Genomic DNA, 26,172 nt, shown 5'->3' on the forward strand with positions numbered 1-26,172 from the left:
TGCTCTGTTGCCCAGGCTGGAGTACTATCTTGAGTCATTGCAACCTCCACCTCCCAGGTTCAAGTGATTCTCCTGCCTCAGCTTCCCAAATAGCTGGGATTACAGGTGCCTGCTACCACGCCCGGCTTTTTTTTTTTTTTTTTTTTTTTTTTTTTTTTTTGCATTTTTAGTAAAGACGGGGTTTCACCATGCTGGCCAGGCTGGTCTCGAACTCCCAACCTCAGGCGATCCAGCCGCCTAGGCCTCCCAAAGTGCTGGGATTACAGATGTGAGCCACTGCACCCAGCCTAGAGTTTGCATTTTTAAGGGGGCTCTTTGCTCTTTTGATCTGACCCTAGAAGCCTTTGATAACTTTCTTGTTTTCCGAAAGAACAAGGTATTTCAAGCTCATTTTGAACATGTACAGCACCCGACGTGGAATCAACCATTTCAAGAAATCTTGATTCCTTTTAGTAGGAAATGGTATTTAGAAAACACAAACTGGGTAGTAGGGATGCTCATTACTAATAGGTTGTCATTGTTTCTTGGATTTTTCGGTGGAAGAAAGCAATGAAATATGTATATTTAAAAAGAAAGATTGTGAGTTTACATTGTTACTTCCAATTCAAATTAAAGATAAGGTTTTTATTTAAAGTTGATTTTATACGTTCATCTCTATTATTTATGCTAAATATCATGTTTCCTAACAATGTTAACAGCATTTTCTTCATCCTATTATTCAAAAAGCAATACCAATATTATTACTAGCAACGTAACTATTGAACATTAAGATTTCTTAGCAATTCTCTTTTCTTTGTCCTGAGAATATATCCTACTAAGAATGTGCAGTCAAAGCACTATGTTCTAAGGTCAGTTGGGTAACAGTGGGATAATTCTTTTCTGTATATAGTTATATCACCAGTGTGGTATACAGTTAGGGTAACAGTGGGATAATTCTTTTCTGTATGTAGTTATGTCACCAATGTGATATACAGTTAGGTTCATTGTATTCCATTTGTTTCAACCTTTAGGGATTCCTTTTAAACTTTAAACACTACTTTTGATTGAACAGTAACTGCAGCAAATAGTGATTTAACTTACTACAGCCAGAAACTGTGCCAAATCTTGAAAAGTTAAAAGGTGTTTAGAACATTGTTCATACCATTAAATTTAAATGGGAAGATGAAAGATACAGAATGCTTTAAAAAAAAAAAAAAAAAAAGAAATGTCCAAAGCAATATGAACAATAAATGGTCAGGAGGAGAGAGGCACTAGCGTGGGTTTGTCATAGACAGCATCAAAGGAATGAGACTTGTACTGGGCCTGGAAGAAAAGTCCAGGTGTAAAATAACATAAAAGAGAGGAAGAGACTAATTTAAAGATAAACCACACTTTGGGAGGCCAAGGCAGGAGGATTGCTTGTATTCAAGAGTTTGAGACTAGCCTAGGCAACATGGCGAAATCCTGTCTCTATAAAAAACACAAAAATTAGCTGGGTGTGGTGGCACGTGCTTGCAGTCCCAGCTACTTGGGAGGCTGAGGTGGGAGGATCACCTGAGCCCTGGAGGCAGAGCTTGCAGTGGGTCGAGATTGCACCACTGCACTCCAGCCTGGGTGACAGAGTGAGACCCTGTTTAAAAAAAAAAAAAAAGAAAGAAAAGAAAAATAAATCAGAAGAACCCATCCTTTCAGATTTGATTTTTAAGGGAAAAAAATTTCAAGATGGTTTGCTTATTAAGATGTACTGATAAGAAAATAGAGCATATTTTTAGGAAAACAGGTTTGGTGTTTAAATGCCTTCTGTGCTAATGATTTAATCTAAGAGTAAGTTGATTGATTGTTTCATCTGAATACTGAGAGTAGAAATCAAGATGCTCAAAGTCAGTGCCACTTACACTGTAAGTGTTAACTGGGGGACAAATAGATTCCCACCCATCCTCAGGGATTCTCCTGGCATAGTAACTGGTACACTTATTATAGCTAATTATAGCTATGAACCATGGTTTTTACTCCTGGGGTCTCTTGAGCTTTAAATCCAATGCATAATAATATTAGTTTTCACCGGAGCCTGACAGCCGAACTCCGAAAGCACATGCAGAGGCCAGATACCTCCTTATTTATATAATAATATTAAGAAGAAGAAAAATTAGGATACCTGGAAGAAATGTCTCTTAGAAAGGAAATACATATTCTAATTCTTGACCCCCTTGATTAGACAAATCAGAGGGAAAAACTCTGGCAAAGCTGCCAACATCAATCTGGCAAATACGCTTTTGTGGTTTAGTCTCAAAAGCTGTAAAATCACAGAAAAAGACACTCCAATGTCAGTAAATATCTATAAAGATTAAGCCTTAATTCATAAATTGAAGGGCTAGGCCGATGAGGCATAGTGGAGACTCTTTTATAAACAATCTAATATCCTTGAAGGAAAAAGCATCTTAACACTATGTCTGTCCCTTGCCCATTTACCCGCTATATTCTGTCTATATTTTCACTGAATTTGGGTCCTGCTTCTTATGCTTTATGACAATGTGTGGTACAGCCCTTTGAATCACTGTTTCTTAAACTTTTTTGTACCATAGCATCTAGTATGTAATATGTGAAACAAAAATTTTACAAAGGAAAACTTGCTTTTACTATTTAGATAAATGGTGATTTTTTATTCAACGTATTTATGATTTTATCTTTTTAAAAGACTGATGACAACTCACTAAATTGATCTTGTAATGTGCTAGGTCACAATATGCCTTCAGAGAAAACACTAGCTGTCTGTCTTCTCCCTGGCTCTGACTCACCCTTGTTTTATAACAGATGCTGCAATGTACAACAACTCTGAAGCCCTGCCCACCTCTCCTATGGCACCCACAACCTATGGTATATGTGATTCCTAATTACACAAATTAATTTGAAGGGACTTACTGGGGGATGAAGAAGGGTGGAGAGTTGCAAAGCCCTGGCTGTGTGGGAGGCTTTACACCAGTTGGCTTTGGATGAAGAGTAGCCCTGGAAAGGTAGGACTGTCTACCTCCAAGTTATGGATCCAAATATACTCTCTTCACTATGGATTCATGTGCTTCTTCAGCTGAGGCAGAGTCTGGAGTTGTCCTAATTTCTCCATGAAAGTTTGGGAATTTGGGGTCAGAAACAGGGAAAGGGACATTCCTGGGTCAGACCCATAGTGGGTATTTCTAAGGAGGGGTGGAAATCAAAGAAACAAAATGCTGATATCTCCAATTGGAGATAAATATGCCATGTATGCATTGCTTTAGGCAGTCATTGGTGACACTAGCCAGCAATGTGGGAAACATGTGGGATTGAATGTGTCCAAAGAGGACTTTCAGCTACCTTGGCATGTCTCAAAGAATGCAGAGAGTGAAACTGGTTCCTCACCTGTTTTTCATGAGGTGTGATTAAGGGACTACAGACTCAGGCCATAATAATACAGAGACAAAATTTTGGGAAGAATAGAAAAACTCACCATTACTCTGTCTGACACATGGAGAGGGGGAGACTACTGTCTTATGGAAGAGGGAAATAGGATAGGGGAACAAAGTAATAAACAGATTGGGCGTGGTGGCTCACACCTGTAATCCCAGCACTTTGGGAGGCAGAGGCAGGCAGATCATGAGGTCAGGAGTTCGAGACCAGACTGGCCAACATGGAGAAACCCCATCTCTACTAAAGATACAAAAATTAGCCGGGCGTAGTGGCGCATGCCTGTAATCCCAGCTACTCAGGAGGCTGAGGCAGAATTGCTTGAACCTGGGAGGGGGAGGTTTCAGTGAGCCAAGATCATGCCATTGCACTCCATCCTGAGGGACAGAACAAGACTCTATCTCAGGAAAAAAAAAAAGTAATAAAACAGTAGCAAGAAAACAAAACAGTAGCAAGAGCAAGAATAAGCAGAAGTATTAAGGTGGCATCTTCCATAATTATCCTCAAGGAACAGGGTCTACCTCCATGTTTCCAGTTCAGTCCCTCATACTTTTACTTGACCTGTGAGATGATTGTATTCTCTGCCTTCTCTCCCTGGTCACAGATCCAATGCTTAAAGTTGATGACAGCAACACTCGGATCCTGATTGGCTGCTTGGTGGCCATCATCTTTATCCTCCTGGCCATCATTGTCATCATCCTCTGGAGGCAGTTCTGGCAGAAAATGCTGGAGAAGGTGAGGAGGTGCAGAATGGTCATGATATAAGAAACTGCTCCTTTCTTTCTTAAGCCACTGTTGTCCCAGGAGTAAAAGGCAAATTGCAAACATTTATTAATGGTTGGAATTAACTGAGGCTACCAAGAAACATAGGAATGAAGCCAGAATAGAATTAGCTAAGTCTATTTTCTCATTTTTAGAGTGGAGATGTTGGAACCTTCCTAACGTTCCTCGGAAATGCAGAAAACTCTTCTTAATACATTGAATCTCCATTCAGGCATTTTCCTTGAAGATTCTGATTCACTGGATTTTGGGTAGAGTCCAGGCATCCATATTTAAAAAAAAATTTAACAAGTGCTTCTGATGCACATTCGAGGTTAAGAATTACTCTCCTAATGCCAAGCTGAAATTTCTGATAATGCTGTTGAAGTTCCTTCTCATCTTTTTCACTTTGCTTGTCTGTTTGGTGTGTGTGTGTGTGTGTGTGTGTGTAGAAAAACATCCAGCTTCATTAATATTCAAGCCAAGTTTCTCACTATTCTATTTCTACTTTTGTGTACTTGAAGGTTGTGATTATGTATCCCTCTGAGTCCCTCTTCAGACTCTGTCTATGCCAAATGATCTGAATAACTTTTTACATTGTCTAACACTTTACAGGAAGCAGAATTTTTCCTCATGCATAATTTTATATACACCTCATTGAGTAATAACTCATAGGCATTGTTATGTTTAACTATTTTTCTGATGAGAAAATGTGATGTGCTTAAGGTCATACAACTGATGTCCAGTCTTCTATGCTTTTTCCAATTGTTAATATTGAAATGCATTGATTTCTTTCTTCAAAACTATATTCATTTCATCAAAGATGGAATATCTATGACTTGTCTTGGTTTCTTGGACCAAATAGCAACTCCCTTGGACCAAATAGCAACTCACTGCTGCTTAGTGTCTGATTCTTTTGGGGCCTGCTGACGACTAAGTGTTTCTGCCTTTGGCCATGATCACCTCTCCTGGTCAATTAGTTCCTCTCAATAGACATGGACTAGTAGAGGCCACAGGAACTCTGAGCTGTGGGGCTTTGAACTGCCTCCTGAGGGCAGGGAATAGGAAGGAGGAGAAATCCTGATTGATTTCTGTGTTTGGGGGTGGGGACTCAGAGGAGACCAATGCCTGTGTGGAACCTCTATTCCAGAGGAGAGGAAAGGGCACCATGAGAATGGGCTTGAGTCTCTAGAGCTTTCTAGATGCAGGATGGGAGAAAAATGGCTCAAATCAGGGGTAAGGAGGAGCAATCCTGATGAGTAGCCTGCAATTCCTTCTGATCTGTGCCACCCTCAGGTTCCTGAGATGGTTGATGTTTGTTTTAAGGTTTTTAGGAAGGAATATTTCATGGAAGAGAAGGTCTCCTTGCTTCCCACAAGTATGTCTACCAGTCTGAAAACACTTAAAGCTTTCAATTCGCAAATAGCAACAGAAGACTGAAATACAGAATCCACAGAGACTCACTCGCTGTCACGAGTATGTCTCAAGGCATGAATGAGGCAAATATCAAAATTTTTCCTCCTTTAGAATGCTGGAAAACACTAGTGTTTAATGAGGTATTCCAGAGTGAGGGTGGTGGTGAACTGAAGGTTCATTGAACTGCTTGAAGAGGATATGTGACCTTCTTAAATAGTCTGTTAGGACCACATTTTAGCCAAGGGGGAAAGTCTGTGTTCTCTGCTATATGAGCTCTTTTTCTCTTTATTTGAGCCACAATTTACCATACTTCTCTGAGTCTTTATTCTGAGGCCTGTTGGAATATCTTCATGGGCTAAGAGAGAAATGTTGGAATCTCCAGGTAAAAGGTAGAGCAAACATTTTGCCCTTGAATATTTAACTTGGTCCTCCAAGAAATTCTACCCCTGTACATCCTGAGTAAGATGACTCAAGGTGCTCTGGAATGACACCCAGTGTTTCTTCCTGGGAACAAAATTTTATGTGGAAAATCATTAAGTACACACATACATTCTAAGAACATTACTTAACATAGCTGTAGACTGTATGTAGCATTATTTGTAGGATAATTTTGGTGGTGTCCTCAACATTCCTTCTTTGAGAGATTTAACCCACATATATTGAGTACCTACTTTGTTCTGAGCTTCATGCTTAGTACTGGGGATATTACTGCAACAAAAGACCTTCAGTCTAGTGGAAAAGTGCACATCTAAGTTTCGCCATTGAGCACCAAAGCTGTGTTTGTTGGAGTGGAGCATTTTACATGTTTAAACCCAAATAGTCACATACATGCAAATGCTGGCATTTGCCTTTTGATGGAGCAGGCAGGTTATATTAGATAAGATACCACAGAAGTAGTTGCTTTGTTGTTCTCCCTCCCTTATTAGGTGTAAGTCACATTGTTATCTCTGGACACCCAGGGCTTTCCTGTCCCATGTTGTAGCCATTTTATTTTTGGTTAGTGAAAATATGGGTCAGTGGTGGGTATTATCCTAATCTAGGGTATCAAAATGATCAAGTAGAACTACTGATTCATCATGTTATAGCACATGCATTAAGTTAATAAACAATTTATGTCTATTCCAAAACCAAGTAGTTAAAGGGTAAGCCAGGAAAACCCATCATTTAATAAAACATAGAAAACTCTATAAGATTGAGATCTTTGGCTACTGATGGGTTCTTATAGCAACAGGGAGATAATCTTTTTTTTTTAAGTGTTTCAGAAAGCACATCATAGAAATTAGAAGATCAAATTCTACCTTGAAGAAATGAAGGATTATTCTAAGTTCCTACAACACAGGCATTTGTGGAACCAGACTGCATTCCTAGCACGTGCAGTGTTGCTGGGGTTAAACAGTAGTAAAGAGTTATTTCATTTGAGTGGGAGAGCTGAGTTTAAGAAGAGGAGGCATTGACCATCTCTTTTGTGCCAACATGCCTTTCTCCTTGCTCTTCTCTTCCAGGCTTCTCGGAGGATGCTGGATGATGAAATGACAGTCAGCCTTTCCCTGCCAAGTGATTCTAGCATGTTCAACAATAACCGCTCCTCATCACCTAGTGAACAAGGGTCCAACTCGACTTACGATCGCATCTTTCCCCTTCGCCCTGACTACCAGGAGCCATCCAGGCTGATACGAAAACTCCCAGAATTTGCTCCAGGGGAGGAGGAGTCAGGTGAGGATGATGTGGTGGGCAGGGTGTCAAGGGAGAAACCTCAGCAAGCATCAGGTAGGTATGACACGCCTGCTCCCAGTTCATTGCATCTATTTTTAGTCTCTGCTAACCTCCTGAGAAGTCCACATTCTCTTTCTAGATTTGGTCTGCCGCTGCTCCTGGCCTAATTTGAGCAACTCTCCTTTGCTACTGAATATAAGATGTGTGGAGGGACCCACATACCAGAAAAGAAAGAAAAAAATAATAAAACATGTGAATTAGGTGTTGACACCAGAAGAACCTAAACAGTCCAACCAGTCTAACCTCATTTTACATGTCGGGAAAGTGAGAAAGTCCAGATAGAGTACTCACCCAACACCAAATTTCATGAGTGGGTAAAGGCAGGACTAGATTTTTACCTGGAGAAATAAATAAATAAATGAAGCTAAAGACATTCCAAAATTCCCAGTGGTGTAGCCATTTAAATAACTAAAATAAATAACTACTTGAGTTATCTATTTTTTGTGAATTTCTCTTTGGTAAACGTTTATTAGAGTAATATGAGATTTTATTATGAGAGTAAAACATTTCTCACCTTTTCTCAATAAAAGCATTGAAATAAAACAATAAAACAGGTAAAACAGTAAGTAGTGTCAGTTGATTCAAATTTCGATGTCTTTCAAAAAATGATGCAGAGTCATATCAGAAGGGAAGCTGGAGTCACCTCTTTAGCTCAGAGCAACTTTTCTATAAGATCATCAACCTGAGGGACCCGAGTCAGTAGAAAAGAACTTGTAGTGTTCAGGAGAGAGGAGCTAGGCCTGAGCTGGATGTAGAAGCAGACAGGACTAAATTCAAGAGCATAGGATTTTATAGGAAGGAGCCTGAAGGGGTCTTTTCAAAGGATAAAAGGAAACTTGCATCTATTTTATTATTCAATGGATAGAAGACATGAAAGAGCATGCTAAATTCAAGTAATTTCACAGAGACAGCAAGAATAAAGGATATAAACTAATTTATTTCTTGGGGTGAATGGAAGTAATTTACCTATTTCCTAAGTCTAAAACATCCCCCACTTCATATTTTAAGGCTTTTTTAAGTTAGAATATGTCTTAAGCTAGATCATATGTCTTTAATCTGAAAGTTTTTTATACCTAAAATCAGTTTTTAAGTCAATAACAGTGTCTTAAAATTAAGGAAATAAGTTATTAAACCTTCAACCTTTAATATTCCCACCCTGATATACCATGAGCCTTCCTATAGCTTCACCACACAATTCCACAAGTTTAGCCACAGAATTTGTTAATGATCATGTATTATGAGGAAAAGAATGAGAAATAAAATGATGTTCTACATTCTGTAGGCCACAAGAAAATCTCTAGAGGAAGCAAAACCATTTTCCAAGTAAGAATGTCATGAAGCAGGTTAGGCTTTCACAGGGGCATGTTTTAGCCCTCCTCTCAGAGTTCCTTCCTGAAGAGATCTCCAAAGACACTCCACGGAATGAGGGCTCGTTGCCCTTGTCTTCCCAGGCTGCAGCGGTGTTGTGAAGCCAGTCCAGCCCAGTGGCCCTGAGGGGGTGCCCCACTATGCAGAGGCTGACATAGTGAACCTCCAAGGAGTGACAGGAGGCAACACATACTCAGTGCCTGCCGTCACCATGGACCTGCTCTCAGGAAAAGATGTGGCTGTGGAGGAGTTCCCCAGGAAACTCCTAACTTTCAAAGAGAAGCTGGGAGAAGGACAGTTTGGGGAGGTGAGTTGATTCTTTGATTCCCTTATAGCTCGAAGAAGGTGGTTGGATAAAAATGATCAGTAGAACAAAGAGTCCCTTCCAGAGGTGGATTCACAACAGAATGTCTCTTCCATTTGTCTCTCCTTGCATTGTCCTCTGGATTTCAGTATTGGGTCAACCTAATCTTTGTCAAATAGCTGTGGAGTTCCTGGGACTTCTGATTTCTATATAGGAGTTTTTAAGGCAGGCAAGTCACTAGACTTCAGATATCTTGAAAAACATTCAATATTTTCAAAAATGTTTACAATAGATTATGGAGGGTGGGATCCAGAAGATGTGATCATCTTTTATGAACTGTCCAGGAACATTCTGCTACTCAATAGCCACTTTGTTTTTTTCCCCTTTAATGGGAGTTATATGTAAAATGGTCAAAAACAACCTCGCCCCTGCCTTTGGTCCCAGAATCAGCCACTAGGGAATGAATCACCAACTAAGATAAGGAGGAGTACTCTTTTCATTTGCCCTCAGAGTGATGCATGCATTATTAAACTTTTCATTCTTGCATCAGTCACATGAACCTTCTGGGAGCTCAAAGCAATGTTTTGAATTCTAATAGGAACTCTTCACCACTGCCGTCTAAACTCCAAATAAAACATTTGGTTTCCTAAGACATGTTATTGGTTTTCAGTGTGGATCTCATGTTCTCTCCTTAGATAGGTCTGGTGTTGCAAGAGGTTGAGGGACCCATGTTATCTGTTCATGGTGTGACATGTACTCATTCTGTCCCCTGGGTTGAAAACCCACATCTGTTATACTGTTACTAATAGACAGGAGTTTCTTATAATGCTAAACCCTATACTAAGGGATTATTTTAGGAAATTGCCTTACGTTTTACATGATCCAGTGACTAATGAATCGAAGTTCAAGCATTTGTAATAAAAGACATTTTATATTGGGCTATGCTGTAATATAATATTGTTATTGATTCATTCATTCACTTAGTGTTCCAAGCAATGTGTATTTCTAAGGCAGGAGAGTGGCACATTAGCTGGGTACTTTACCATTGTTTTAAATCTTATCAATTATTTGAATCATAGATATGTTACACATATCTTCTTATTGGTCTTTTGATCATTTTGCCTGAGTTGTAAGAGTTAGTTTATCTCCAGGAAATGCCCAGCAAGAGTACTGAGACATCTTCAGGAGAAATGATGATGCTGAGACTAGATGACTTTTGTCTAGGTTCATCTCTGTGAAGTGGAGGGAATGGAAAAATTCAAAGACAAAGATTTTGCCCTAGATGTCAGTGCCAACCAGCCTGTCCTGGTGGCTGTGAAAATGCTCCGAGCAGATGCCAACAAGAATGCCAGGTCTGTGGTCTACATTTTGAATTTTCCTTTAGGTATTTCATCTTTAGGACCAGGAATACTCCTGGATACTTCTGAGCAATTTTTTCTTTTGAGATGGGAAGGTCAGTGAGCTGCCTCCCATTTCCACTGTTATCCTTTTTCTTATTCCGATGGGGTCGGCAGTCCTCATCTTTTTCTCCACCTCTCTCAAACACAAAGGTACATTTTCCATTGTACTTGCCACATATTTACTTCCTAACCCCCTGTGCACAAGCACTGTACTTGTTCCCAACATATACAACTGTCTAAATGTGTACTTCTTTGGTCTTTATACACAGACATACTCCTGCATGTCATTACCTCCTCTTGACAAAGTCTTCAGAATCACACATGACTTTCTTGCTAAGCCTCTTCCAGTCTCCTTTTTTCACATTTCTATTTATTTTCTCATCCCTTTTTTCTCTTTTATGCTCCTTTTCTTCTATTTGAGCAACCCTCAAAATGAGAAGCTACCTCTATTTGGAAAATTATCTATGAACCTCAAAGCAAAAGGATCCACAGTTCTCTAGCAGTTTTCCAAACTGGCTAATAATCTCTTGGATCTTTTTCTACATAAATTGCAGTTTCCAGCCACACTTCATTGTCTGACAGCCTTTCCATTACAATAATGGTGAGTTAATCCTCACCCAGAGAGACAAGCTGGTTGAAAGCTGGCTGTATGTGTCCCAGAGAAATCTCCACACCTGGATAACATATGCATTTTCCCATTTGTGTTGTCTTGATTTGTCTCACTGATATTCATAGTGAAAAAAAGTTTATTATTCTTATTTTCCAAATTATCATAAATTCCAAGAATGGTGATAGACTTCATTAAAAGTCTTGCAATGGACAAGATGTAAGATAAAGAAGAGAGAAAGGTGAGGAAATGAAACTGGAGGCTTTAGAAATTTAACTGATAATTTCAATCTTTAAGATACTGGTAAGAATAAAAAGTGACATTCTCTGGGTCTTATAGAGAGACGAAGTATTTCTTATATTAATCTTAGCACATGATTGGAGAAAGTGGCATGAGGGGAAACAAAACCAAACCAAACCACAGGACATAGGATATGACAAAGCCTTTCTCCGTTGTTCCGATCGGTGAAGTTTGCCATTCCTCCACCTGTGTCCTTAGCAATGATGGATGGCCATGACTGCAAACCCTCCCAAGCCATGGAAACCCCTGGTTTGAGACGGAAGGGGGAATGAAAGAGGGGAGGTGTTGCATCAGGACGGCATTGATTCCAGTGGTTTATATTGACGTAGTATGACTTCCAGTCCAGGATTCCTAGCAAACTCTTGGAGGGCTTATAACTCATCTGCTCCAACAGTTTTGGGAATGTGGGCTAGAGGCCTCACTAACAAAATCTTGCTACTTTATGACCCAAGGGTGTCTGTCACCATGTACTCAAACAATTATTAGTCTTGGTCAAATGAATACTTCTTTTGACATGATTACCACCACAGCCTTTAAAGAGCTCTGTTTTCGACAGGCTACTAAATACATGTTGCAACTGACTGATGGTTCGTACTGCATTAAGAAAAGTCAGTATGAGAAAATAAAGAGTAATCAGATAAGCCAAAGATGGTTGTTCACATCATACAAAGTTTCTTCACTAGTAATAGAGTGACTCCATGGCTTTAAAAAAAAAAAGGTAAATATCCTCGTGCACTTAAGATATGATTTTCAGTGAAACATTTTACTCTGTAGAGTGGTTTTTAGCAGCCTATTTTTGATTCAGCAAATATTAATCACTTTCTGTGTGGCAGGGATTTTGTTAGATGTGAGGGATAGAAATGTGAATAAGTCATGGATCTTGTTCTCAAAAACATTACAATTGAATAAGGGCCCATGATATTTCAGGAGGAATAGAATGAGACAGATCCAGGTGTCAATTTCTCTGTCCTCTCAAAAGTTATCCAAAGGGAAACAAGATTTGGCATAATGTCCAGGAATAGGCCTTGGTGTGCATTCTTCTCTCTCTTGATTCTGACTCTGGCAACTTCTGAGTTTATCTATGTCTGTATCCTCCCAAGGAATGATTTTCTTAAGGAGATAAAGATCATGTCTCGGCTCAAGGACCCAAACATCATCCATCTATTAGCTGTGTGTATCACTGATGACCCTCTCTGTATGATCACTGAATACATGGAGAATGGAGATCTCAATCAGTTTCTTTCCCGCCACGAGCCCCCTAATTCTTCCTCCAGCGATGTACGCACTGTCAGGTAAACAAGCCAGGTCTTCCTTCTCCTCCCTGTGGTCATGAGAGTAACCTGGGATCTGAAAATAGGGAGCAGTGAGCCTTAAAGTGTATCAATGTTCTGGGATGGTGGGGGAAGTCAGTGTGCAGGGAATAATGGAGCAGCTGCCCTTTGGGGAAACGCAAGGGATTCATCAAGAGTAGAGAAAGAATGTTGAGCTTTCAACCCTAGTTTGTTGATACCATTTTAGAATGTGTACCTTTCACATCTTCCTGTTTCCATAGGCTACCTTCTGTCTTCTTGTCTATTTCCTCAGTTACACCAATCTGAAGTTTATGGCTACCCAAATTGCCTCTGGCATGAAGTACCTTTCCTCTCTTAATTTTGTTCACCGAGATCTGGCCACACGAAACTGTTTAGTGGGTAAGAACTACACAATCAAGATAGCTGACTTTGGAATGAGCAGGAACCTGTACAGTGGTGACTATTACCGGATCCAGGGCCGGGCAGTGCTCCCTATCCGCTGGATGTCTTGGGAGAGTATCTTGCTGGTAAGTTCTCAGCATTTTAAAGCCCTGTCTAACAACTGGCTTGTGGGCTCACATGCATGACACGTGGAGACAAACCTGAGACAGCAGGAGGCAAACTCAATAGACTGTAGTATTTTCTCTGATTTGAAATTATTTTCTTTGTGTACTAATTCTTATTATTTAATGCTTGCCTATTTCTGCTAAAAAATTAACACACATAAAAATTTAGGGAGAGAAGTTAAAAAGTATAAGAGATTTATTATCTTTGTTTCTCTTTATCATTTCTACCTAGTGATTGTTCTTAATTTAAGATATTAAAAACCTTATCATTTAAAGAAATGTTACCTATACAAAATATTTTCTTCTCCATTAGTTTCATAAGCATGTTTCTCATAATTACATAGACTAATTCCTATAATTGTATTTCAATACTTTTCAACATGTTCTTTTTAAGTTCATCATTCTTTGCTTTATAATTTTTATTTGATTCTTGATATTCCATACCATAAGTGAGTAATTTTTCCCAAATATCTCTATTAGAGGTATATTTTCTGTCCATGCATACCTGAGACTTTTTATTGTTGATTTTATAACCACTCAGCTGATTTATAGACTCATTAGACTATACACTTTTACTTCCTACAATGCCATGTACATGTTATTTTATCTTTTTTCTTGTGTGACATTGCAGAGAAAAGTCTGAGACCAATTTGGTTTTGTTCATTTATGATTAATCTGCTTATTTCCTGCTAATATTCTTATAGGATTTGTAAATTAATTTTGAAATAAAAAATGTATAGTTATTCCCTTGCACTCACCAGGATAACCACTATCAATACTTTGGTATATTTTCTTAGAGGATTTTTTTCTATACATATATTTTTTCTATGCATGCAATTTTTTTTCTGTGCATGCATTTATATACATATGTACATATATGTAATTTATATTACATAATTGGGATGACACTATGCCATACAATTCTCTATCTCTATTTTTAACTTAACATTTTATTATCTGCATAATATTCCATGTGTAGATATATACTATAACTTAATAATGCCTCTATAATTTGATATTTAAGTACTTTCCAATTTCCTGCTATTATGAATGATGCTGTGATGTACACCAGTTTACATAAATCCTTATAAAGATCTTTTTCACCTATATATGTGAATTGCTATATTTTACCCATTTCTAATGGGATAGTTAGGCATTACTCTCCCTAAAGGTATTATATGGTGTTCAAAACAATATATTAGACTGACATTCAGAGGACCTTGGTTCAAATCCAGTTTTTCCACTACTAATGGTCTTATTAACCAGAAGAATTTGGGAAACCTCTCCTGTTTCATTTTTCTGATCTAAAAAATAAGGATAACTGGCATGGTGGTATGTACCTGTAGTCCCAGCTACTCAGGAGGCTGAGGCAGGAGGATGAAAATCTGGGCTGCGCTGCGCTATGACAATTGGGTGTCCTCACTAAGTCTGGCATTAATATGGTCACCCCTAGGAGCAGTGGACCACCAGGTTGCCTAAAGAGGGATGAGCCAGCCCAGGTCAGAAACAGAGGAGGTCAAAACTCCCGTGTTGATCAGTAATGAGATCAAACGTGTGACTGGCCATTGCACTCCAGGCTGGGCAACATAATGAGACCCCATTTCTCAAAGGAAAAAATATTTAATAATAAATAATATCATCCACTTCACAGTGTGGTTGTCTGTATTGAGTAGAAAATGTGAGTAGTCAATGCATGCTATTTACACCTGAATCTCATTGCTGTCACTTGTTAAAGTCTATCTTTCAACACTGTGATTATCACTGAACTGGTAAATGAGAGTCCTGGATTCACTGCAGGCACTTAAACTAGATTCCTCTATCTCTAACATAAAAACCATTGACTTCCCATTCAGATTTTGCCTTTCTCAGGAGCATTTTCCCAAGGCTACCCTAGAGTTGAAAGGTTGACCTAACACTCAGTTGCAGAGTCAAATAGCTTATGGCTGCGTTTTTTTCAGCTCTTGGATCTCATCCCCAGAGAAACAGAACCAAGCTGAGATCATGAGAATGAAAGAATGGGCTGTTTCTAAATACTCCATGCACATCTTGGCATTTTCAGAATTCCTTGCCTGTGGTGGGGGAAGGGGTATAGCTGCAGATTATGAAATTTAACAGGGTGTTGTTGTGCACAGGTTATTCTGATTTCCCATTCTTTTCTTTACTTAAATAGGGCAAGTTCACTACAGCAAGTGATGTGTGGGCCTTTGGGGTTACTTTGTGGGAGACTTTCACCTTTTGTCAAGAACAGCCCTATTCCCAGCTGTCAGATGAACAGGTTATTGAGAATACTGGAGAGTTCTTCCGAGACCAAGGGAGGCAGGTAAGAACTGTTGGGGATGAATGGATGTGGACCTGTGTACCTTGAAGGATGGAGAATGGCAAGTCCTGCCTTAGCAGGAGTGGGCCGAGATGGAAGACAGACTATCCAGGTGTTAGTCTTTGTCACTAACTATCCAGATGATGTGAAAGACCAGTATCCTCCCCAGGCATCCATACACTTTGCTTTATCTATGTGTCAACTCATTGACTCTTGGAGAGCATAAAGGGTCATGTCAGGTTTCTCCCCAGCTCAAAGGTAGCAGGAAACAAAGTCCTATCTCTCATGATTTATCTATTTCTTGATCTAGACCATGTGGTTTTTCTTCTGGGTCAAAAAATAAAAGTGTAAAAGGGATGTATTAGCATTCATTAAAAATATAGCTTAGTATAAGAAATGGGGTTGGTTTTGACTATCTAGCAATGTTTCTAGACTTGGATGTCTGAAAATGGGCAGATATATCCTAAACTTGTTGCTCTTGGAAGGCATCTCTGGGCCCAGTATTGTGACATCTCAGGACTCAGGGAAAGATGAGTTCCCAAGCTCCCCAGGAGTCTCAATTCCTAGCCAAGATACTCCAAGCTTTTTTTTGGGTGGCTTAGATTTAAAATTCCTGTGAGATCTGGAATTTAAAGCTTGCCAGTAACTACAGCACCGCACTTCCCCAAAGGGGCCTGGCAACAGCATACCCTTGGATTATGGTATCTTTACCAGGAAAAGGATAATAGCTGGGGGAAGGATCTTGCAGACAATAAAAAGTGGATCTTCTGTGGCTTGAACAGATCCAAGCAAGCCAAAGATAGATAAGGTATTGACAAGAGATAATACATTATGCATATTAAAAATAAGAGAGGGGTCTGAGAATTTAATTGTATCTTGATACTCTGTAAATATTTTGGCAGCAGGGAGTCTAAATTAGCTATCTTGGTTATGAGGCAATTTGCCTTCTTACTATAGTCAAAGGAAAATTTACTCCTGAGTACATGAGATAAGTGAGTGGGCCAAAGAAAAATGTTGTTTTCTGCCTCTGCCATGATCGGCTCAGCCAAGATGAACTTCAATATGGGTTGCCCATAAATGGAAGATTTGGTCTCTTTTTGGTTGTTTCATCTTTTGCATGAAGGTAGGGACCACATAATGGCCCATCAAAAAATTCTGCTGCAGACAACTGCAGAAGACAAATGGAACAGCTTAGAAAAGGGCTGATATGATTCAGAACTTTCACGAGTAGGAAAAATGGACACTACACCCATTTCAGTTATCAAGTTCAAGAAAGTGGGCAGGGGGCAAATCAAACCATGATGCAAAGATACTTCCCTTTCCCCCGTCTTTGTAATATTCTCTCTCTCTCTCTCTTTTGTTTTCCTTTATTTTTGTTCCCAAAGACTTACCTCCCTCAACCAGCCATTTGTCCTGACTCTGTGTATAAGCTGATGCTCAGCTGCTGGAGAAGAGATACGAAGAACCGTCCCTCATTCCAAGAAATCCACCTTCTGCTCCTTCAACAAGGCGACGAGTGATGCTGTCAGTGCCTGGCCATGTTCCTACGGCTCAGGTCCTCCCTACAAGACCTACCACTCACCCATGCCTATGCCACTCCATCTGGACATTTAATGAAACTGAGAGACAGAGGCTTGTTTGCTTTGCCCTCTTTTCCTGGTCACCCCCACTCCCTACCCCTGACTCATATACACTTTTTTTTTTTTTTACATTAAAGAACTAAAAAAGGAAAAAAAAAAGCCTAGGGCAGATACAATCTAGTAAAAGAAAATCTTTGATATACCAAAGTGTTGGATAACAAAGGCTAGAAAATTCAGATAATTTATAAAGGTTAACTATACTTGTGCTTATAAATGTGCAGATTCTACAATATTTTTCCATGTCATTCTAAAAGAATCTTCAGAAAGAAAAACTTGAAGAATACTAATGTCTTGGGAAACATGAGATTAAGTTTAGGGAAAACACTTGATAGATGTGGAGAATCTGAGGACTCAGAATTCAGCAACTAATCACAGGTGGTTTTCTAATTTGGCCTCTGGACATGTCTCACTGTTTGTATTTCTCTCTCCTGTCAAAGTGAATGATATATTCTTGAAAACCCCCAATTTCTTGAAATGGGTGTTCTGTTCATTCATGGGCAGGGGTCAGGATTGAAGTTCATATATGAAACAACTGGGGATGTAGATAGGAAAGAATGTCTGCTGCAAGAGTGTATGAAGGGGGATTGTCATTTACAAAAAAAAAGTACCTCATGGATGGAAGGATTCATGAATAGATAATGGACATAGGAAAGGAGGTCAATGGAGGACACATAACAGACATGCTATCCACCATTTATTTGTGATTTTGTAAGAGGGTTCTCTTCTTTGTCTTGTTCAGATATTTTCATGTGTGTGTTTTAGTGAGAATCTGAGTTTTTAATCAGTAAAGTCTGATGTTTTGATATCTTGATGTTTTGATGGTAGACTCTTGAGTTCATCTTGTCCAAATCTTCTAGCATTTTCAAGGATGAAGCCTCTGTGGGATCTTTGGGCTTGGGGCTGAATTTCTCAGGCATAAATACCTAATGGCCTTGTCTAAGAGGGAATAGATCTGTTCTGAGTGTCCCCAAAAAAGTTGTCCTAGGAACTGATGTGGAGAAGTTACAGGGAGACTGATTTCCATTCCTTATTGGGGAAAACGAAGCACTCAGAACATACAAGGATAAATGGGCTGCCACCAGAGGTGAGGAGTCTCTTGTCACTGGAGAGGTTAAGATAGAGGCTCAAGAACAATGCAAGGAAAATGGAGGTTTTCAAACACAAAGTGGATGGTGGTATGAGACAATGTTTAATGTCCTTCTAACTCCGAGAGTCCTTGATTCTGGAGAGGCACAGGATGAACATCTGTTGCTACTGCTGAGTATACACACTCTTGCCTCTGAGATGGCGTGACCAGCAGAAAAGAAAGCTCAGGGCTGTGGCTTCAGAATTCATGGAAACAGAGCCACTGTCAAGAAGGAATCTGCTCAGAGCAGATTCTGAGTTTTCACACTCCACAAATCCTCAGATTTAGTGGGAAGCTGGAAAAAGGAACTCTTAATTCCAATTGAGGAGAAACAAGAAAACATTACAAATCAGTTTCCCAAGCTGAGAAGGATTAGCCTTGACCCCTTGGGTCTGCCTCTGTTGCCCTCACCAGTTTACCTTCTACAACAGTTTCTCAGGAACATGTGTATTTCCCCATTCAGCTTTCAGCATTGCTCCACGCCACAGCATAAGCATAGATCCCAAGTCCACAGGCTCCATTTTGCAGGTCATCTTCTGATCCTAGCAAATGTCCTTTCCCCATAGTTGTCCTATGCCTTTGGGCTTTAGTCTATCCCAGGACTAACTGTGGAGAAATCATTGGTTTGAGAGTCAAGAGAGCATTGGTTTGGGAGCTTTAATCCTCTTTCTGCTTCACACTAAGTGTGTCATCTTGGCTAAATCACTTGGTCTTTCTGCATTTTGTTTTCTTATTTATAGGATGAGGAAATTAGATTAAATGGTTTTGAGGTCCTTTCTTGTTCTGATATGTCCAGTACTCACTGGAAAATTGGATCTATAACTGATGGGTTTAGTAATCTGGTCATTTCTTGCTCTGAAAATTGTAGTCAGCAAAAGAGATCATGGAAGAAATCACTGTAATGGTAGTAATAGTAACACATGCCATTTGTATTGTGCCTTAGGTTTACCAGGTGTTTCCAAATACATTAGCATATTTGATATGTGCAGGACTAGATACCTTGGGACCTGCCACACTCCACTTTCAAGATATGTATTAGCTTCATTAGAATTAAAGGGACTTGAACTCAGGACCTGCAGCCTATTCTTCTTTATCCACATGTCTCTGGTAGGGCTACATCCAGATCACACCATGACTTCTTATAGAGCAAGAGAAAATAATATTATTATATCTTCCTTTGCCTAAAATCTCTCCACTTATTCTTTTTTATGATTCTGCACCAGTTCACTGGGTTATTCTATGATTCCATATTTTTTTTAAAAAAAATCATATTTAAAATGAACTTACAATGTCTGAATTTTCCTGGCCTTGAGTCACAGAAGTAATATGTTTCAGATGGCTGCCCAATATGTATTATCATGTAATACATATCTGTGTCCTTTTCTGGGATGAGGAAGGCTTCAACTTCTGGCACTGAGAACTTTGTATTACAGACACAGGTTTAGTTTCTAGCTTAGTCATGCCTTTAGAGTTTAGTAGCACAAATCCATGCAACCCAACAGAATACATGGTGAGGGCCTAGTATGTAGAATTTGAAAGTAGTTCAAATTTGAATTAGAAGAATGAAGCTAGGACTTATTTGGAAAAGGAGATAGAAAAAAAATGATCAGAAACTGTGGGGCCTTATTACCTTTGCAGTAAGTTATCTTCTTCATGATATATGTGAATTATTTTATGTGCAGATTGTGTTTTGGGATTGTCAGATCTAAACTTATATTCTTGCTGGCTAATGTGCTGATAGCCAGGTCTGAAACTTGATGTGCTATCCAGACACATATGATCAGAAAAGATCTAGAGTGCAAAGAGGTGCCTGAGGAGCAAAATGTGGTTTTAATGTTGTGGAAAGATCACTTGCAAGTATATAAGACTGTATAAAGAAGAGGACTGTGTGCAAGTGGGGTGAAAAAAAAGGATACGTGAATGTGCATATGACTGAATAGGGAGGAAGGTCAGGGCTAGAAAGGAGGCTACATAAAAAGGGGCAATGGAGAATGCACAGGAAAGACACAGGGGAAGGTCAAGTCGAGCAAGGTAGAAACAGGAGTAGCTAGAGCCATTGGGAATCCATTTTGAAACAAGAAGGAGTTTTGAAAGGGAATAGGAAAGTAAGTGTCTTGAAGTAAAAGATAAATATGGATGGAGAAAGAAGAAATTCTGGATGATAGAGATGATAAAAATATTTATTAAGAAATGAAGTCAGGTTCAGTGTATGAAATGGAAAGGAATTTTTCAGAATTTTAAGAAAGGGGAAGTTCCTCTTGGAAAAGATATAGCAACCATCGGGGAATGACCTTTTCATTTCAGAAGTGGATGAGGAAGGTGGTGTGAGCATCAGGTATATTCTGGACCATTTCAAGTGCTGGTGAGAAGAAAGGAACTCTTTGCCTGAACTGGGCTTGGTTTTCCAAGTGCTGCTTTGGAAATGAAGACCCAGAGATGCAGAGCTTATGGTAGTTCATAAATCTTCATGTTCTATTATCTTTCATCTGCCAATAAAGTTCATTTTCAATAATGTCCACCATTGCTGTGCCCAGAATAACCACAGGCAAACATCAAAACAATACGCATAAGTTAGACAAGATTAAATCTTGTCTGATATCTGCACAAACAGATATGCACCATGTTGGAAACATGTGTTTTCCTAGTCCCATCCAGGCTTCCCACAAGAAAGCCATGATGTGGGTCTAAACCATATGTTTTGAGTAAAGGAGAATAGAAGAAGGGGAGTGTCCGCAAAATGGAAAGAGATGAAGATGTTCCAAGGAAGTATGCTGAAACAGAACAGTGAATGTTTTGCCCAAAACTACAAAAATAAAAGAAAAAAAGAAAATTGCAATACATGGCTACTAAGTCTTTGATCATAAGTCGAATTTATAGACCTGGAATTTGCCATCCTAGTCTTTCCTTTTTAGTAAGACTTCTGTCCTCTGGCAGTGCATATGGTAGGTCTCTAATGTTTCTTCATCTCCAGGAAGATGCAGATCCTTATTTTTGCTGGGAAATCCTTCTAAATAGAAATGTAACATTTTTATAAAAACAGATTAATGTGTTTTTCACTTAGTAAATGTTTTCAAGAGCTGAATTGAGAAGGAAAGAGACTGGAGTGGTTAATGGTGATTTGATTTCTGGCATTCTGAGTTTTCTGCTACAATTAGCTGCATTACTTGGTGCCAAAGAGCAGTGGGGAATTGTTGAGTTGCTGTATCCTTTAAAAAAAAACAAAAAACTTGTTATTTTGAAAGAACTTAAGGCTCACAAGATGTTACAAAAATAGTAGAGTGGCCTTACCCTAGATCCAGTTTTCCCCATTTATAACATTTCACTTAGTCCATTTTCGGAACCAGAAAATTAACATTGGCATAATGCTATTAACTAAACTACAGACCTTTTTTCAATTTCGCCAGTTTTTCCACACATATTCATTTAGTTGCTGGATACTTTTAATTCTTGCTGATTTGTAAACTGGCCTTGCTTGGATACAACAGGAAAGATACTATCTGGATAAAGTTCTACAGTTTTAGAGAGACTATTAACACATTAATGTGTTCCTTTGTCATGAGCAATACCCTGCCTACACTGCTTCTAAATTTTCTGATTTGTTTGGCTGTTTGGCATCTGAAACAATCCAAGACAAACTTAGAAAGATTAGGCAACACAAAACACAGTAAGACCTGTTCATAGCTTGTTGTCTAGAAAACCAGGTAGCAGGATATTCTAGATGCTTCCTGCTGCTTCTACGTGAGTAGGATTAGCACTGGGGACAAAATAAGGAGTTTAGAGTAAACCAGTATTTCAGTCAAGAGTTAGTTGGCACTTAGTTAATGGCACTGGAAATAGCTTGTGGAGAGAATAGAATACAATGGTATAGACTCCTAATGTTTGATAAAATACTATTTTCAGAGTGGTAGAGAGGTTTTATTTGCCTAAATAGCCGTTATTAAATGGAATAACAACCACATTAGACCAAATTAATTGCAAACACAGCGGCAACCTGGGGAGAAGTTGAAACTCCAGTTTTGTGGATTACAGTTTTGAGTTTTATGATTGACATTTTTAAGTCCCCTATTTAAGGGGTCAAGATTATAACAATGTGTGTCTTACTAAGTTTCTAGGTCATTGTGAGCACTTGATAAATATTTGCTGAATGTTGTTTTTTTGAATGAACATAAGATAGAAACAAAAACTTCTCATCCAGTTAACTAGAGTGAATGTAGGGAGAATTGTTTTGCTTGTAACATGGAGAGTTTATTTTCAAGTGAGGAAAGAGAAAAAAATTACTCAGACTTGTTCCTGGTGAAGTGCATTCTCTGTTTGTATACTTTTTGATGGAGAAATTGATCTATAGAACTGCTTAATTTTTTGAGGCATTTAGACAGCAATGAAAGGTAGTTCTCCACAGGACACCGAATCAAAAGGAGAGACCAGACTCTGGCCTCATACCCAGCCTATTTGAAACAAGCTATCTAGTTTCTCCTGCAGACACCTTGTCAACAACATGCAACAGTGTCAGGTGCCTTGCAGGAAAATAATCTGAGTCCCAAGCTAGCCTGTGCTCATCCACAATCACAATGAACATGTCAAGGAAGAATTTGCAGAGACTCAAGGGAAGCACAATGGGATAAGGTAATCACTTTCAGTGAAAAACTGTTTTCTTGAAAACAGGCTTGGACACAATTGAAAGCTGGCTTCCTGCAAACACACCAAGAGTCTGTAATCTAGCCTATCCATTATATGTCCTTTATTATTCATGATATCCTATTCTTCTACCTTGTTGCCTGGTAACTTTTTCTGAGGACTGAGTTTCTGCAGCGATGTGGTGCACTCTTCCTGTGATGAGGAAACATCTGGGCCCCCTTCTGCAGGCTTTGGAAGATGATGTGTCTTGTCAAGGGGTAAAGGGCAAATGGATTTAATTTCTGCTTAAAACTATCATAGACGTTCCAAATAGAATATGTAAAATTTCTCTGTATTAGAAAAAGAAACGTGATACCAATTGTATATTTTCTTTTCTTTATTTATTCTCTGTAAGTCTGTCAGATGATAAATTGTAAATAACAATGATTAAAGAGTCATGCTACTGATGGATCTCCCTTTCTGTATAAACAGTGCCAGTTCTGGGCTTTGTAACCTTTGCTCTTTATAGTCTTTCATTCCTGGGGAAGTGATGGGGCATGGGCCCAGAGCTGGGGTGTATGTGGTATGGACACCTGTTTGTGGGGCTTTCCAGCAAAGGATTATTTAAATAGACCTCTAACATATGAGTTGACTGTTTATTGGGAAGAAAGCATCTTGGTCTCTGACATATCCAAACATACGAGACACTGGGATTTTACGTCCTCACATTAATTAGTCCAGTTCTGGGGAATCCAGTCTAGAATTAACTGGTGATCCCTTATCGTTATGGTTACAGACTTGTCTTGTTTGATACACAGAAATCCTTTTTAAATCCAAATATAGTCTGTCTCAGACTACCTGCACATGCACAAACCAAAAAAAACTATGAAAACCAGAATTTAGACTCAGTCATTATACTAGAGATTAGAATGAAACGACCCCAAACAACCCATTTCTTACCTGGTCTCTGAGAATAAGTTTATACTTTTAGTTTTCTGAGAATATTTCTCAGAATATGTGAGTTTTCTGAGCACATTTTTCAGCATGGGGTATGGTAGATAAATCACAGGGCCAAGGTTTGGCAGGGATAGATGGGATCATTGTGTACCCTATTGTTCTTCTGATTTCCAGGAGAACAGAATGAGCCCATGCAAAACATAAACTTATGATGATTAAAAAAAACACACCTATCCATTCACTCATCAATAAAAACATATTATGATGGTTATCAAGCTGTGTCCTATGAGTGATAAAATATTTGTAAAATATAAAATTAAATGGCATCTATTTTGAACTCTATTCTAGTCTCTCTGAGCACCTCTAGCAGTTCAGCCCATCTTTCAAAAGTCATAACACCTTGAAAGCAGCAACTTTAGTGCAGAAAAAGGAAGAAGAGAGCAGTTTCATCACTTGGCTTGAATGAAAATCTTGGGGAAAGGAGAGACAGACGGTCTTGCTCTGAAGCTGTCTGGACTTCACTTAATTCAGTCTGTCTTAGGCTGGCGGTCATCCCGAGACTGCGGTAATGCTGAGCCTCCACAGCCCAGGCCCTCTCCCTTCTTTATAGAAATGATTTTTTTATGGGACAGCCACACAACCAGGTCTTCTTCTTATTCCTTATCACCTCTGAGCTCTAGAACATTTTAAAATGAGTCTTTGGGTCTAGACTCTCACAATTAGGCTTAATTTTACTCCATGACTTTCAGAAAATGTTGTTAAATTGTGGTCTCTTTAGAACAGTTGAAAGTGGGATAAGCGTAGGAGCTGAGTTCCACCCCCATGATAAAGAAATTTTATTGGCCGGGCGCGGTGGCTCATGCCGGTAATCCCAACACTTTGGGAGGCCGAGGCAGGCAGATCACTTGAGCTCAGGAGTTCAAGACCAGCCTGGCCAACACGATGAAACCCCACCTCTACTAAAAAAAAAAAAAAAATATATATATATATATATATATACACATACATATATACACACACAAAAATTAGCTGAGTGTGGTGGTGTGTGCCTGTAGTCCCAGCTACTCGGGAGGCTGAGGCAGGAGAATTGCTTGAACCCGGGAGGCGGAGGTTACAGTGAGCCGAGATTGCGCCACTGCACTGCAGCCTGCTGACAGAGTGAGACTCTGTCTAAAAAAAAAAAAAAAAAAAAAAAATTTTATTTAGGAATCTAATGTTCTAATAACCAGATTTGTTCTTTCAATCTAATTTTATTGATATAGGATAAATGATTACTAAGTAAGTTGGTATCATTAATCAAAACCTCTAGAATCAAAAGCCAATATAAATTATCTCAGTGTTTTATGGATCATTGCTGTTCATAAATAATTAAAACACTGAAAGAGGCCATTAAATAAAGTATGTTCAGTAGCGTTTGATGTATGATACACAGTTTTATTCTGCATGAGCTGGGGCTAGTGATGGTCCCATTACCAGTCTACTACAAATACAGAAACCTAGAGTAAGCATTAGAAACCTTTATAGCAGTTTTGTCACTGGAAGGAGGGCCTTGAGTGTGAGTCGTCCAGGTTTTTGGCCATTTGGAACGAAAAGTTGGACAAAATGCACAAAGTAACAAAGGAATGAAGCTGCGAAAGCAAAAGCAGGGATTTATTAAACTGAGAAAGCACTCCACAGGGTGGGAGTGGGCCTGAGCAAGTGGCTCAAGGGCCCAGTTACAAAGTTTTCTGGGTTTTAAGTAGTTCTTTTGAGGTCCCTATGGGCTACCCCTTATCTGGATGAAGGATTTGGTTTATGGCTAAGTAAAGGCTGAGGTGAATTTGTGCCCTATGCAGATGATGGCATGGCCCATGCTTAGTGCTTGGCCCACAGCCAATCCAAGGCACTTTCCCTTTCCATCTGAGACATGGTGGAAGTGTGGCAGGCCAGGTCTCACTAACAACTGTTTCAGTACTAAGTGGTTAAATATTAAAAGCCAGTGCCCTTATACAAAGGCTGGGATGTAACAAAAGCCCATCAAGAATTTTGCCTAGGCCTTTCCTGGGCCTCTTAAAGCATACAAAATAAAGAAAGAATTCTTAACCGGACCCCTTTAGGATTAAACAAGTTTTATTGTGGTCTGAAGAAACTCCCCAGGCCTCCACAAACAAGTTTATTGGGGGGTCTAAGAGAACTCCTCAAACCTCCACCACTTAGCAGGAGAGAATACAAGGGCAATCACCCCAGCACCTGGACCCATTTAGGTTAAGTAAATTTACTGAGGCTCCAGAGGAAGGTTTTCAGGACTCAGACCTTAGTTACAGATTAAAAGAAGTTAAT

At 39.2% G+C, this 26,172-nt stretch overlaps 1 protein-coding gene and 1 pseudogene across 8 annotated transcripts in view; both read left to right on the top strand.

Moving 5' to 3' along the window:
• The window catches only part of DDR2 (discoidin domain receptor tyrosine kinase 2), a 156,543-nt gene extending 132,348 nt beyond the window's left edge, over window positions 1–24,195 (top strand). For 7 of the 8 annotated variants that reach the window (NM_001354983.2, XM_047421554.1, XM_011509587.3 and 4 more), the window contains 9 exons: window positions 2,791–2,853; window positions 4,019–4,149; window positions 7,092–7,302; window positions 8,814–9,037; window positions 10,259–10,386; window positions 12,442–12,633; window positions 12,926–13,160; window positions 15,370–15,519; window positions 16,902–24,195. In NM_001354983.2, coding sequence (NP_001341912.1) covers window positions 2,791–2,853; window positions 4,019–4,149; window positions 7,092–7,302; window positions 8,814–9,037; window positions 10,259–10,386; window positions 12,442–12,633; window positions 12,926–13,160; window positions 15,370–15,519; window positions 16,902–17,036 — 1,469 coding nt within the window. In that variant the 3' untranslated portion in view covers window positions 17,037–24,195. Of the gene's footprint in view, window positions 1–2,790; window positions 2,854–4,018; window positions 4,150–7,091; window positions 7,357–7,441; window positions 7,929–8,813; window positions 9,038–10,258; window positions 10,387–12,441; window positions 12,634–12,925; window positions 13,161–15,369; window positions 15,520–16,901 lie in introns of those variants that run through there. The other variant, XM_011509588.4, reaches the window with a different exon arrangement.
• On the top strand, window positions 14,520–14,804 carry RN7SL861P (RNA, 7SL, cytoplasmic 861, pseudogene; annotated as a pseudogene).

The sequence above is a fragment of the Homo sapiens genome, chromosome 1 (genome assembly GCF_000001405.40).
Source record: "Homo sapiens chromosome 1, GRCh38.p14 Primary Assembly".
In the NCBI taxonomy this organism is placed as follows: domain Eukaryota; kingdom Metazoa; phylum Chordata; class Mammalia; order Primates; family Hominidae; genus Homo; species Homo sapiens.